Source organism: Homo sapiens, chromosome 15, assembly GCF_000001405.40.
Source record: "Homo sapiens chromosome 15, GRCh38.p14 Primary Assembly".
Taxonomy (NCBI): Eukaryota; Metazoa; Chordata; class Mammalia; order Primates; family Hominidae; genus Homo; species Homo sapiens.
The window spans coordinates 27,069,418-27,084,981 of record NC_000015.10 but is presented as its reverse complement, the minus strand read 5'-3'; the positions used below and the strand labels follow the sequence as shown (position 1 = coordinate 27,084,981).

Here is a 15,564-nt window from a genome sequence, read left to right as displayed (position 1 = left end):
TACTGTACATGTCCCAGGGCCTGTGGAAGTGGCCCCTAGGGCTGGTGCTCACACAGAGAATTAAGAAGACACAGTGTCAGAAGGAGAGCCACGTTTTATGTTGATCCCATCTGTTTGCAGGGGGCTCTGAAGAGCCCAGGAAGCAGCTCTTCAGAGAGAGTGGCACCCCCCTGGAGACCCTGGCCTCCTGGCTTCTGCAGTGATGGAGGTCAGTGGTCAGTTGCTGAATCCAGGTAAAACTAGCGTAGAGTCTGTTCCATGTGGCTGAGGACGGTTTTCCTACACAGTACCCAATTTGCTAATTATTTGGTCCCCATGACGAAAACAGACATACTTAGTTAACTACTGACTATAATGGTTAAAGACTGAACAGTCTTTCCAGAAGGTTCTCTGACTCTTGTGCCATGCAGCCCCAGGCTAGCCTGAAGTGCCCAGGTTCACATTCATGGTTGTACCACCAGGACCAGTCTTCTCAGTGTTTGCTTATTTGTCTCACTACAAAAGAACCTTGGGTTAAAGACTGAGGCAATCTCCATCATATCTCAACATTCTGGCTGAGGGTCAGGGCAGAATAACCTCCATTTCCCATTTGGAGGCACCTTGCCAGGTAGAGACACACACACTAAGAATTTTGTCTTTCTAAAAAATAAGAAATGTGCCTGGAAAACTCAGAAGCAAAAATGAAAAAGAGGCTGTAACCAAAGGTCTAAGAGAGACACAGAACCGCAGGATTTCAGAGGCACGTGGGATAATCCCAAAAGGCTCAAGGACAAGATGGTATTTGAGTCTGAACTGAAAGAATCAACATTCCATCAGTTTATCTGAGCAGTTCAGCTGGAGGATGGAGCGTGAGCAAAGTGGTTGAGGCAAGACGGCCTGGATGAGATGAAACGTTTGCCTACTGGGACCCAGGGTTCTCAGGTGGGGTGAGGCCTGAGGCTGAGTCTCTCCACTGTGCCTCCAGCCCAGACACCAAACCAGGCTTCCCTGCACACACTTTTGCTGTGGATGATGTGGTGACAAGTCATAGGTGGACTGTGATCATGTAGACAGGGAAAGGTTGGCAGCTTACCTTCACAGCATGTCAACACGGAGGCTTATTGAAGAAATATAAAGAAAGAGAAGTGTGGGAAACAATTACCTATTTAAACACTGCTAACGGGTATTTGAAACACCCATGCCCCACATACATGGTGAACACATACTGCAGATGGTACCTGGGGCTTTGTGACACTGTTTGGAAAGAATGATCCATATGTAGATTTCAACATCCTTCATGAGGCCATGGTTTTTTGGCCATTGCATATAACTGCAGGCACTTGGAAGTCATGGGAATTAATTGAAAATAGAAAAGTTGGCTGGGCACGGTGGTTCATGCCTGTAATCCCAGCACTTTGGGAGGCCGAGGCAGGTGGATCATGAGGTCAGGAGATCGAGACCATCCTGGCCAACATGGTGAAATCTCTACTAAAAACATAAAAATTAGCCAGGCATGATGGTGTGTGCCTGTAATCCCAGCTACTCAGGAGGCTGAGGCAGGAGAATCGCTTGAATCCGGGTGGCGGAGGTTGCAGTGAACAGAGATTGCACCACTACACGCCAGCCTTGGTGACAGAACTCAAAAAAAAAAAAAAAATCAATAGCTCTTACTTTTCAAGAATCCAAATTTTACCACTTGTCGGTTCAGATGACTAAAATTTTGATGCCACTTCCTTTCTGAATGAAAGTCAGGAAAAAAATGATCTTAGCCTTTGTTACTACAGCATTTGTTAATGCTTGTCTGCAAGTATCATTTGAGTCATAAAAACTGCCTCTATTTTTCCCTGCCTCATTTGTGTTATGCTAACAAGCCTAGAGCTTGTAAGTTATCACTAAAAACATGAAAATGTATTTTATATAGTTTAGGCTGGTTTGATCTTTACCTTATGTGATAAAATATAATGATGAAACAAGCTGCACTACACAGACACACAGACAGCCTTTATAAAGCACAAGATAAATGGTTAACGGAGAAAACTTGTAGTCCTGAGAATTCTGTAGTAGAAGCCAAGATGCAGGGAGTTCGGGGAGGCTCACCTCTTGCAGCAGAGAAGGCATGAGTGACAGAGAAGCGGGAGCAGGTCCCTCAGGGAACAGAGCTCTAGCAAGCATCAACATTCCTGCTGCTGTCCTGGCTGGTCTTCATTCACCAAGCCAGGGTCTACTGCGGCTTTCATTGCAGCGGACTTTAAAAGGCATCTGTGGTTCCTGGCAGTCATTTCTTATCCTACTGTTCATAAACTAAATGAGTTTGCTTTCTTTATCCTTTCCACATCAATCACGTTCTGCAACTACGGAATGACTCTGTGGTTTTATCGTGATCTTGAATACTCCACAACATCCTTCTTCAGTTGTGGGGGTGGGACGCAGACCCAACCCTTGCCCAAGTGGCTTCTAATCAGGTTCCATTTAATGCAGGGCACCCCTTGTCATGATTCCTCTCATAACATTTCTGATCTGAAACATTGCCTGCAGAATTTTTTTTGTCTTATTATGTTTAAAATTCAGCTATGAATGCTGATGAATGTCATACAAGCTCGTGCGTTCCCCGCATAAATGCAAGGTTATGCATTTGTGGCATTCTGGAATCTTTCTTCTACAATTATACCTGCAACTTCATTTCCTTTCATGAAAAGCAGGAAAGAGGCTTCATGTGAAATTGGGTGGCTTTTCAGGTCAGAGGTCAAATGCACTGTGACTTATTTTTCCACAGTGTTTTTGTGCCTGACACTTGTTGACCCTGTGAATCAGCATACAGGACTCTCTCCGTCATCTCAGGGAGGACACAGCCACAGGGTCAGGGCCATGTCTGAACCTACCTCCACCAGAAGCAGGCAAGGGAATCTTGACCACAGAGCTTCTCATGATGACAGTGAGGCATTTTATTTGTAATGTGATGTGACTGTGTGCCTTGCTTCACTACTAAACATTCACCAGGATGTGTTCAGATAAACACTCTAACTTAAGCACTCTCTGGGTCCCCAAGAGAACTCTCACTGAAGATTAGAACTCAATTCAGTGAAATGTAACCTGTTAACAGCCACTGGAGGGATCTACCACACCAGGAAATATAGCTCCAAGAGCCTCCTTTCTATTGAAAATCGATGTCATACCCATACGGGAAAAGCATGAGCATCTGCAGTATGTCTCCTGGGGAGCGGGGTCGACCACAGCAGCTGGATTCAGTCACAGGCTCTCAGCCGCTGGTTCTGGGAAGCCCATGTTGTTGGTATCATAGTGGCATGGGAGGGGACTCGGTCCTGCCTGCCACTCAGTGTTTACTCCAGCTCCCTTCCCTCCTGGCCCATGGAGTAAGTCAGTGATCCATACTGCGTGCTGTGACATCCATTTGGGGCCAGCCTCCTCTGCTGCACCCACACATTGATAAGACATAGCTGTGTGGCCAAGAACTCCTCAAACAATGAACATATTTTTCAATCAATGAATGTATTTCTATTCAAGAATAAATGAGTGAATATTTAATAATATTCAATAATTTATTAATATTTAATAAATTTCAAATGAATATTTAATAAAAGTACAATAGTTAAGGAAACTACTAATTCTACCAGAATATGTATTATAATTCATCAGTTTCCCAACCCAAAGCAGTCTAATCTAGTAGGAGAAGCACTCAGCAAAACATGAGAATTAAAAGATCCTAGTTCTATCAGTATGTATCTAGCATCCTTGTAGCCTCTGGGCCCCAGCTTTCTAATTTGCAAGCCACCTGTTTGTGGGGGGCAGCATCTATACCTGTTAGCTTTTACTATAACCAACACTCACTGGCTTAAAGCAACAGCCATTTATTACTGCTCAGGAGTCTCCAGGTCAACTTGTGGTCCTGCTGATGTGGGCCAGGCTTAGCCAAAGTGGGCTCAACTCACTCAGCTGTGTGCCCTCAGCCACCCGTTAGGGACCATTTCACCTAAGAGGACCTGAGTGGGGTGGCCTGCCTCTTCTCCGAGAGGTCTCTGTCCCCCTCCCCACCACCACCCCCACCAGCAGGCTAGCTTGCCTGGTTTCTATGGTGGTTAGAAGGGTTCCAAGCAAGTCACTGGGAACCACAAGGCCTTTTGCCTCCCAGGCTTGGTGAGGGCTAACTAGCACCAGCTCCTCTTGTTGGAAGCAAGTCCCAGGGCCAGAAAGAGACTTGCCTCTGGATGGGAGAGATTGGAAACTCACACTGTAGAAGAATGTGGACAGAGGGCCATAACTGTGGCCACTGCTTATAAGCAATCTCTTACGGTGTCTTATCACTCATTCTCCAGTGTGTGTTCCTGGACATTTCTTTTTTAAAACTTTTTAATTTCATTTCATTTTATTTTTAGAGACAAGGTCTCGCTGTGTTGCCCAGGCTGGTCTCAAACTCCCAGCCTCAAGTGATCCTTCCACCCTGGCCTCCTGAATAGCTCGGAATACATGTGCAAGCCATCATGCCCAGCTTAATCAGAATGACTATAAATCATGTTTTGTTTTCTGGTTTTTGGTTTTTTAGAGATGAAGTCTTGTTCTGTCACCCAGGCTGGAGTGGCTCACTGCAGACTTGAATTCCTGGGCTTAAGTGATCCTGCCACCTCAGTCTCCCAAGTAGTTGGGATTACAGGCACACACCACCATATTCAGCTAATTTTTATTTATTTATTTATTTACTTATTAGAGAGAGGTTCTCGCTATGTTGTTCAGGCTGGCCTTGAACTCTTGGGTTCAAGTGGTCCTCCTGCCTCAGTTTCCCAGTAGCTGGGACTACAGGTGCATGCCACCATGCCTGACTTTCTAGACTATTTCTGTAGCAAGATGGCCCCTTGCTACAGAAATGGTTTGGGGAGCCTTGAGGCAACCTTAGAGAGGACGCATCTACTCTAGGAAGATGACTCTCTTCCAAATGGACTTGGCTTCTTGGAGATATTGGCAGATCAGCTGGCATTTCCCCTGATCCCTAGAGATGATGCTTAGCCTGAGCCAGCCCTCAAAAGCTCCACCTCTGCATACTGAGTGAGCTGGGAGTGATGTTGGGAGGATACCTTTCTTCCAGGAAGACAATCAAAAGAAAAGCAAACCTGAGAAAGTGCGGGCTGATTTTTATTTAATTCTCCACTAACTCATCCTTAGCCATTAGAGGTCTTAATGATGCTATGTCTGAGGCTTGCATGATCCAGTTTTCAGAGCTGTTTTGGGACAGTGTTGGAGACTGTATGTTCAATTTACCTTGCTTTATAGCAAAGTGATGGCAATGTTATTATTTTTTTAATTCTGTCCATGAATAGAAGGCCCGAGGCTGGGTCTCACTGGTGAGAACCATCAAGCTTCCTGCCAGACTCCTTCAGGGGTTCTTGAAACGGCTCCACTTCCATTTGTCCCTTTTATCCAAGCTGCTTGATAGATTGTTAGCCCTCGCCAAGACTTACATCAATCCTGCAGTGAAATCTCACCCACTCCCAACACACACACTCCACACGGCATCTTCTAAATTCACTCTATTTGTGGCTTCTGTATGAAAATCACAGTGATTATCTGTTCTGCAAACACATGTGCCTCCCTGCTCCTGTTGTCCTTTAAATCCTATTATACTTAATTTTTAAAAGTATTCTGACTTCCAAAAGTTCCTCAATATTGTATAAAAACAAAATTATTTGCCTTTTTTTTGGCACTATCTTGTTGCTTCTCTACTCTTTACATATGCAGGCTCCTTTAGCAACTCCTGGCTCTTTGATTAGGGATTTTCATGAAGCCTCCCTGAGCACTGGACATGTCTCCTGAGGTGCTGCTGCCTTGCTCACACCCGACCATGCCTACAGTCCAAAACAAGTCATCAGCTGGGCCATGCTCTCTCTGCAGGGTCTGGGGGAAACGGTTCTATGCCTTCTGTCAGCTTCTGGTGTTGCCAGCAATCCTTGCACTTCTTGGCCCACAGATGCATCACTCCAGTCTCTGCCCCCATGGACATGAGTCCTTCTACCCCACTGGGTGTTTTTCTCTGTCTCTTCTCTTCTTATAAGAGGAGTTACAATGGATTAAGGCCCCACCCTACTAGTCCTGTGTGACCTCATCTTAAGTAAGTACATCTGCAATGACCCTATTTCCAAATAAGGTCATATTCTGAGGTTCCAGGAAGGATATGCATTGCAGGGGGACAGCATCCAACCCAACACTGACCACTTTACTGGCCAGCCAATGTTTACTGAGCCCTTAATATGGTCCTCATGCGAAAGACACTTCAAGCATGGTCTCCTTTCATCCTGAAAACAAAGGAATCAAGAAGACACTCTTATTATCCCCTCTTTAAAGACGAGGAGCCCCTGGGCGGTGACCAGTGACAGCTGGTGTTACATCTACAGAGATGTGCTTCTCCTATCATAGCCTCGGTACCCTTTGCCTGGCATATGTTTCCATTTCTCTACTGCAGTTTCATCTGACATCTACAGATTTCCTGATATGCTGTGGTTAAGGCATGTTTTTCCTTTCATAAAAAGAAATTTTTCCATAGCATATAGAAGAGCTAAAAACTTGGTTTTTCAAAGTTAGAAGTAAGTGATCAAAACCCCAAATAATAAAGCAAAACAAGGTATATTAGGGTCCCCCAAAGAAACGGAACCAAAAGGATGTCGAGAAAGAGAGATTTATTGGAAGGAACTGGCTCACACAATTATAAATCTGGCACCTGACTGACTGACTGACAGTGTCATTTAGAGGAGGTCAGCCTTTCATTTTTCTATCCGGCCCTTCAACAGATCAAATGAGGCCCACTCACATTGGGGAAGCCTAGTCTACTGACTCAATTGTTAATCTCATATAAAAACACCCTCACAAACACATCCAGAATAATATTTGACCAACTATCCGGCACTCCATGGCCCCCAGTGAAGCTGACATATAACACTGATCATCACACAAGGAAAGCCCCGTCTGTGTGTCCAGCCAGCATCACAGAGGGCGCCAGAGAAACAGAAACATGGCACATATTTCAGAACCTGAAGCCACCTCCCCCAAACCCCCGGCGGGGAGGCTGAGGAATGGCTGGGGTGCACAATAGCTCCCCTGATATTTGCTGGGCTGTGATGATGCTGAGAACTGCCCTCCACAGTGGCCCAATCTTAGTGCTAACTTTTTGGTCCTCATAGGACTCAGCCTTAAATACTGTTTAGGACAAGAGAGAAAAAAAGTCCTTCCTTTCATTTCCAGAGTAATCTGCAGCTGAATAAGAGGAGAGAGATCAGGGGAGCATTACAAAACCTGGCAAATCACTTGCCATCTCAGAAAATGGTTGCTTCCATCTTTACCCAATTTTCTCAAAACATTCTGGAAATCGACAGAGTGATGGGGAAGAAGGCTCACACGGGGTCTGGGGAAGATGTTCCTTTTCCTGCTGGCTGCCTTTTACCCACGAAGGTCAGCACAGAAAGCAATCAATTAAGCCATAAGGGGCATTTGCAAATTAGTTTCCATTTGTCTTGGCATTTCTAAAGATAATGCACCCCAGAATAGAACAGAACAGAAAAAAAAATGAGAGAGTAAGAGTCCAGCTGCTCTGGAAAATGCAGCTGGCTGGAAGGATCCTAACAAGCCGGTGTGTGGCTCCACAAACCCTGGGTGCATGGGGACCTGGTAATCCTAATTGTCATCTGAAGAAAGCCTGTATGAAACAGAGACAGGCAAGCACGGTTGGAACCGCTCTGCTAATGAAACATAACCACAAACGCGCTGCAACACAGTGATACCCAGAGAGGCTGGGCATGCAGGGTGCTCCCTAGAAACTCTCTCCTCCACGAACACCCAGCCACTGTCATGCTAAGACTGCCCATGGTTTGGCCTCACTGTGTGGTCTGTTCAGGAAAATTGCAGAGGAAGACAGATAGGTCAAGCATGAAACTTCAGCAGCGTTACAGAATCCAAACTCAAAGGCTATTGGGGATCATCAGAGGGCAGCCTCGGGTTGGAGCAGGTCACCTGAATGCTCAGAAACCAATGTCTTCACTTTTCATAAGGAAGATACATTAGCTTCCTGTGGCTGCCATGGCAAAATACCACAAACGTGGTTGGTAAAAGCAACAAAATGTTTTTCTCTCACAGCTCTGGACACCAGAGATCCTAAATCAAAGTGCTGGTAGGGCCATGCTCCCTCCTGAGCTCTGGGGCAGAATCATTCCCCATTCTTCCGGCTTCTGATGGCCTCTAGTGTCTGCTGACTTGTGGCAGTGTCACTCCATGCCCTGCCTTATCTTCTCTTCTGTCCACCTCTCTCTGCCTCCCTCCTAAGAACACTCAGCATTGGATTAGGGCCCACCCAGGAAGTCCAGGATGATCTTGAGACAGGTGGCTCACCGGGCACGGTGGCTCATGCCTGCAATCCCAACACTTTGGGAGGCTGAGGTGGGTGGATCATGAGGTCAGGAGATCGAGAACATCCTGGTCAACATGGTGAAACCCCATCTCTACTAAAAATACAAAAAAATTAGATGGGCGTGGTGCTGCACGCCTATAGTCCCAGCTGCTCAGGAGGCTGAGGCAGGAGAATCGCTTGAACCCAGGAGGTGGAGGTTGCAGTGAGCCGAGATCATGCCATTGCACTCCAGCCTGGGCAACAGAGTGAGACTCCATCTCAAAAAAAAAAAAAAAAAAAAAAAGACAGTTGGCTCAATGTCATCAGCAAAGGCTCTTTTATAAACATGTCAGCTGCTGCAGCTTCCAGGGATTTGGCATGGATGTTTTGGGGGACATCACTTTCCACCTGCCAAAGGACTGGGGAGAAGGTCTAGACCTGTCAAGTTCTGCCATTCTGTCAACCAATGAAAACAAAGTTCTTGGTGCCAGGGCTCTTGCTGAAACCACTGATGGCAGAAAAGAATGCAGCAGTCTACAAGATGAACACTCAGGACCAAACACCTGCAAGCTCAAGACTGTGAGGAAGCCCCCCAAATGACTCTGCAACCCTCAGCGCGGGGACACAGAGAAACTCACATGCTGCGCAAACACTAGCAGCACTTCCGTTCCGTGACTCGCACTGTGGAAAGGACCAGCACATGGTAGAACAGACACATAGCATCTGGATGACAGTTCCTTAAATCAGGACCTTTACACTGGGTTCCCCTGGACTGGAATCCTTCACACTCCTCATGATCTGACAGAGGACTTGTCCTTCAAGCACAAGTCTCACCCCCACCAGGGAGCCATCCTGATACCTCCATAGAAAATCCACCTCTTCCTCAACAAAATGACTTATACATCCTCTGAAGTGCAAAGCTCATATTGCCTTATGACACGGATTTCTTTTAATGGTCTAAATGATATGACTTTGAACATCTCCTCTAGCTTGCTTTCTGGGTTTTGGATTGTTTGACTCAGGTCCCATGAATTATTCAGAGGGCAGAATGAATTTCTTATATAAACAATATGGAAAGAGTTCTCTGCCGAATGTACAAAGCCTTCAGCTCTAGGGTTTGCCTTCATTTTTGCACTAGATTGAGGATAAATTTTATAACTTATTCATTGCATAGTCCAGCACTGAGCTCCTGCAATGTGGTAGGCACCATCCCTGATGCTAGGATGCCAAAATAAACCAAGATTCCATTTCCCTTCTCAAGAAACCATAGCATAGCTCAACCAGTGTAAAGCCTCCACACGTAATCATTTGCAAATAAAATGTCTTTGTTTAAAAAGCTTCAATATGTCTTAAAATTAGCATAAACCTATTCCACTAAATACCATGAGATGTTTTGCTCAATAAAAGAGGGAAGCCTTTCAGTTAAATAATTTTCACCTCATCTTAAGAATTATTAATAGTCAGTTATATTACTCTAAACAAATGAGAAAAAAATCACCAATATCTAAGTGAAATTCTAAAAAATTGTTTTTGAAAATCGTGTTCACATTTTACTTGAAGTTGATTGGGTTTTATTCATATATTAGTATCAATAAAAATGTCCTTCAACCTCACCTTTGAATGTAGGCTGTTAAGTCTGACCACAACTATTACTTAAAACTGATGAAGATGAGTACATGTTCTCATCATTCAAACACAGTGGCTCCTCCAGGAACTTTGGAATAAAGCCTCCATGTAATGTCCAACTCTTTAAAAACCAACCCCAACATTTCTTTTCAGCTTCACTTCCTTCGATTCGCTTTCCACCTGTGCCATCCATTCACTGCCTACACACACACTCCTGATGTGTTACACTAAATCCTACATTTGAACACCTGCTCCACCAGTTAGTGTCAGACACTAAGGGATCTCAACTTCAATTTTATTATTTGCGAGGTAAGGATAATAATAGTTGCTTCAATCTTGTAAAAAAAAAAAAAAGTAAATGCTATGGAATATATTCACACAGAGTAGGTTCTTGATAAAGGTTCCAGGATGGGCTGAAATTAGAGCCACCTCCTGGTACTCCAGCCTTGGGCAGTCCCATCCTCCGAGGAAGGGACAAGAGTCCAAGCTTGGCTTGCACAGGGCCCAGCCAAGCCAAGCTTGGACTCTTGTCCCTTGCACTGAGCGTGGGCAGCGTGTGAGACATGCTTCTAGCCAGCAGCACAGAAGGAAGCGGTCACATGTCACTCCTGTGATTATGACTGTGATATCCACCTTGCTGGAACACTCTCTCTCTTGGGGCTCTGACGAAACACAGCCTTGTCAGAAAAGGCCACGTGGTAGTCTCTGGTCAACACTCAGTAAGAAACTGATATGGTTTGGCTCTGTGTCCTCACCCAAATCTCATCATGAATTGTACTCCCATAATTCCCCTGTGTTGTGGGAGGGACCCAGTGGCAGATAATTGAACCATGGGGGCGGTTTCCTCAATACTGTTCTCCTGGTAGTAAATTAAGTCTCAAGAGATCTGATGGTCTTATTAGGGTTCTCCCTTTTCTGTCTTCCTCATTCTCTCTTTGCCTGCTGCCATCCATGTAAGATGGGACTTGCTCCTCCCTGCCTTCCACCATGATTGTGAGGCTTCCCCAGCCACGTGGAACTGTAAGTCCAATTAAACCTCTTTCTTTTGTAAATTGCCCAGTCTTTATAAGCAGCATGAAAACAAACTAATACAGAAACCAAGGCCATCTGTTGATGTGAGGAAATCCATGTGAACAACCACCACGAGGGCTTGGCAGTGATCCTTCCTCAGTTGAGCCTTCAGATGGAAACCCAGCCAGGGCCGACACCCCAATCTCCACCTTGCAGAAGGCCCAGCCAAGTCAAGCTTGGACTCTTGTCCCTTGGAATATGTGAGCTAATCCATGTGTGTTATCTTAGCCACTGAGCTTGTGGAGACATTATTAAATAGCAATAGCTAACTAGTTCACAAGGTGAGCTCAGTCAAACATGGATTTGTGCAAAAGCAGAAATAAACAGTAGAAGAAAAGGGAATCCAGGAATGTGCATCTGGAGCTATATGATAGCAGGCAGAATTATAAAGGACTTTAAGCTACAAAAGCCTGTTGAGAATTCCCAGTCACAGCTGGTGGCAGCACTTCATTAATGACCAGGTGAAGATGTCATCTCTAAGCCAAGCTTCTTGTTTCATCTGCCTTGGACACAGCCACTATGAAGCAGAAGCAAATGGCACATGGGGTGGCACCCCTGAGGCATGCTGCTGACACACCTCACTGGAGGTCCTGGAGGACCATGGACAAGAAAGACCTTGCAGAAGTACAGCCAGCACCAGGGGTCCCCTCCTCTTCCAGGCAGACATGCTGCAGGACATCTGCCAGGCAGGATCTCATGAGGCTCCATTCCTGAAGGCTGTGTGAACTCCTCTATTCCCTTTCCAGGAGGGAGTTTCTAGAGAGGATTCTGCCTCTGCTTCCCTATCATGCTTTGGATGGGTGTGCTGGGAGTCCTCAATCCCTGGACACATCAAGTCACCCCACACTCAACAGACTGCTCAGGTATCCGGGACCCTGGGCTGGATGCAGCACTGGACAGGAACTTGTTTTTGTTTGTTTGTTTGTTTGTTGCTAGTTTGGTAGTAAATGTATTTGGCCTACATTTGGAAAATAGGGTCAGTCTGACTATCTGCTGGCCAGAGCAGTGGGCTGTGGCAGGGATGGCCAGCCATATCCCAGAATTCCACATTTTCCACTCCACAGGGAACAATTTCTCCTGGGAATTAACTTTCTGGGCTGTCTTGCAGTTGAGTGAGTCCACAGGCAGAGAGAAGCGTGGCACTTCTGAGCCTGGCCCACAGTGCCTCTGGCAAACCCCCCTTCCTCCTCATGGTGGGTGGTATGGAAACAATCCTGGGGCACCTTGGGAGCCAGGGGCTGAGGAAGGCAAAGTCCTTGTCAGCCTTCTCCCTCAGGCCAGCTTGGAGACGCACTGCCCCCGACCTGTTCCTTCCGCAGTAAGTCACTTGTGCAAGAAATGGACTGGTGTCATTTGAGTCATTGTACCCTCTGGAGTCTATCTGTCACAACAATTAGCATACCCTAATAAAATGAATCCTACAGGCTGATATGAAGTGAGATGAAATGTCCTGAGAGAGGTGGTATCTGAAGCTATTTTGAGTGTCCTCTAGAATCTTGGACTAAGATGAATACCTGGGTGGTTAGGAATGAAGGAAAAAGGAAATGAAGGAATGAAGAAAAGGAAATGAAGGAATGAAGAAAAAGAAGGGTGTCCATGGAGAAGGAGGTAGGATGCTGAAGACAAAGTTGATGTACCTCACAATGTTACCGAGTGGACTGGGGACACAGAGAGAAATTCCATTCGTAATATGAAAAAATAAATAATGTATTTCCTTGCAGGCTTGAGTTTTCAGACCATGAGAAGACTCACAAGGAGAGCTGGCAGCCTTCAGGACCTTCAGGAGCAGAAGGAAGCTGTCATTACGAAAGCATGATTGGAGGTGGGGTACTTCGAAAGGCTCTTACTTTTAAGGGCGGGATGAGAAAATCAAGGCTGTAGGAACTGCAATAGCTAACCAATCAGGTGAGCTCTTTGTGCGGCTTTGCTTATGGCTTAAATACCGTCCTGATTTAGTAGGAAATGACCTGATCTATCTTCCAGCCTGAGAGGAGCTGTGGAGACTGTTTTTTCTTATCCCCACAACTGTGAAAGAGGAAAGTAATCAACTAATCAAGTAATAACTGCTCACCAGAAAAGCCATCTTAGTACGCTTGAATACAATCTTCAAGCTTAAGATACACTTTAAGAAGGTAATACCTTAACAACCCAAATTCAGAGTAAATATCCATATCTGTCTGCAAACATTACAATTTTGACACCTCTAGAAAATAGGTCTTCAGCATATCTCCAGTTGATATTGCTTTATCGCTGAGGGAGAAAACCCCAGCCTCACCGTACTACAGCCAGAGAGAGCCGCCAGGTGCTTTTGCTGCACCTGCGCTGGCCTTCCCACAGTGTGCAGACTGCCCCAGTCAGGAAAAGCAATCACATCTATGGACACGGTACTGAAAGGCAGACATCCGTCAAGCTGGAGAGCTCTATCAGGACAGGTGCACCAGCTTCCCTAATGGGAGCACTCAGGTTTGCTGTGTCGTTGCTGCATTTACCAGCAAAAGCAACAAAGCAGGTGTGGGGCAGGTATGTCAGCTAGTGTGCAATTAGCACAGGCCTTCCTCTAGCCTCACCTCGAATCAGCGCTGTCCGAGGCGACTGGACTCAGAGGGAAGAGAGGAGAAGGGGGTAGGGTGGCAAAAGGGTAGAAATGCCCCCTCCTTGGCCTCTACATGCAACACAATGCCACCAAACACCACTGGCTCCTAGCAGCTTTGGCCCCAAAGGGTCAAAATGACAATATCAACACAGCTACTACCCAGGGACCAGGGGTTGTGACTTAAACACACAGGACGCCTCCCACTTTGCATTCTCTCTCCTCTAAATGGTTGCCTAGGATACGAGGGAGCCCAGATTTTGAAAAACAACACAGACACTGATTGTAAGCTCAGACTTCCTCCTAGTTATTCAGATGAACAGGGCATTAGAAAGCAGCCACCAAGCAGGTTCTCCCAGCGCTTCAGGAGGTCCTTAGGCTGGAGAGGACCTCGCAGTCCCGTCTGCACCTGCAAAGCGGAGCTGGGTTCAGCCAGCCACAGGGAGGCTCTGAGGGGCTACCTTTGAACACAAAGGAGTGAATTGGGTAGTTCTCATTTTCTAAATTCAGAATAAGATGTGACCATCCATCACTGAAACACTTACTTTAGTGATTTATTTCCAAGATTCCTATTTTCTAAATAAATCACCCTACCAGTGCACTCCATTTCTGGCTTCCCAAATGCCTTTAGGGTCACTGCTTGCTCAGGGCCAAGAAGAAATACATTCCAGGTTTTTCATTTATACAAATTGTCATAAACCTTAACATTTCATCAAATCCTCTACTTCAATCTCTAAAGCAAAAAAGGGCAAAAATATGAACTGACCAAATATTCTTCCAAATGTTGGTGACAAGCATAATTCCATTCTTAAGGGTGCAAGAGAGGAAATTTTACTGATGTGAAACTTATATTCACAAGATTTTTCAATGAGTTTCACTCATACGTGGAGTGCAGTTGGATTGAACAGAGGAGGGAAGCCTGGCATAATGGAATGTTCTATGTGGTCACAGTCCCTCTGAATGATGAAAACAGACATTTTCAACTTGGCATATGGTCATAACCTCTTGATAATGTTCCAGAACAGTTCCTGGGTCACACCAAATGCACATCCTACCAATGGGAAGCAATATCCTTATTTGATTATCTGTCTCTTTGTATACGGCACTGAAGATACAGAGAAAGGTCCAAACTGCATTCAGGCTGTTGCAAAAGGTTTTGTTTTGCAGACAAGATGACATAAGTGGAATCTGGGCACTTGCCCTGTCCTCACGTGGGGGAGGACTCCCCTCCAGGAGCATTGGATAGCCATCTTGTTCTTCCTTGGTTTTCTGTTTTTTTCACAACACACAATTCTCTCCTTCCTCTCTCTAATTCACTTCTCTTCCTGCCTCTTCTGGGAAGGGCAGCTTGCATTGTCTTCCAATGGAAACGATAGAATTACCAGCATGAGCAGAGACAGAATGGTATTTGGAAAAAGCACTGTTCCACAATGTACTGTTGCAAGATCCACAGGCACTACTGCAAGCTCTCTGTGCCCATTTCTCCAGTGGATATTAACGACCAAGGCATCTGATTTTTGCATGTGTTTCAACATGGGTATTTATACTCTGAAAACAGATGAGCTGAATATTACTTCTAAATAAGTTCTACTTTTCCTGATAATACTAGTGATGATTCCAGATTGTGTAACATTTGGAAGATCCAGTAAAGTATACAGGTGGAAATTTAAATCATAGTTTAAATAATAATCCTGTTTCTTATAATAACGGCAGTTAACATTTTAGTTTATACTCTGCTAGCCTTTCCCTTTCATATTTACACATAAACACACTCAGACCCTTATATGCACACAGCGAAAGAGAGGAGATGGATGTGTATGCACAGTTTTGATTCCTGCGCGAGTCTCTCTGACAGTGTACAGTTACCTGATACACGGTAGAACCGTAGAAGTGCACAACATTTTAGAACTTTTTCATG

The 15,564-nt window shown here is 45.3% G+C and overlaps 1 protein-coding gene and 1 long non-coding RNA gene across 3 annotated transcripts in view; one reads left to right on the top strand and one right to left on the bottom strand.

Moving 5' to 3' along the window:
• Nucleotides 1–15,564, bottom strand: part of GABRG3 (gamma-aminobutyric acid type A receptor subunit gamma3) — a 570,804-nt gene that overhangs the window by 457,003 nt on the left and 98,237 nt on the right. The gene's annotated exons all lie outside the window — the stretch shown is intronic.
• LOC124903449 (uncharacterized) overlaps nt 12,877–15,564 on the top strand; it is a 33,128-nt gene continuing 30,440 nt past the window's right edge. Inside the window, exon 1 of the long non-coding RNA XR_007064545.1 lies at nt 12,877–12,961. This is a non-coding gene — a long non-coding RNA (uncharacterized LOC124903449). The remainder of the gene's footprint in view (nt 12,962–15,564) is intronic.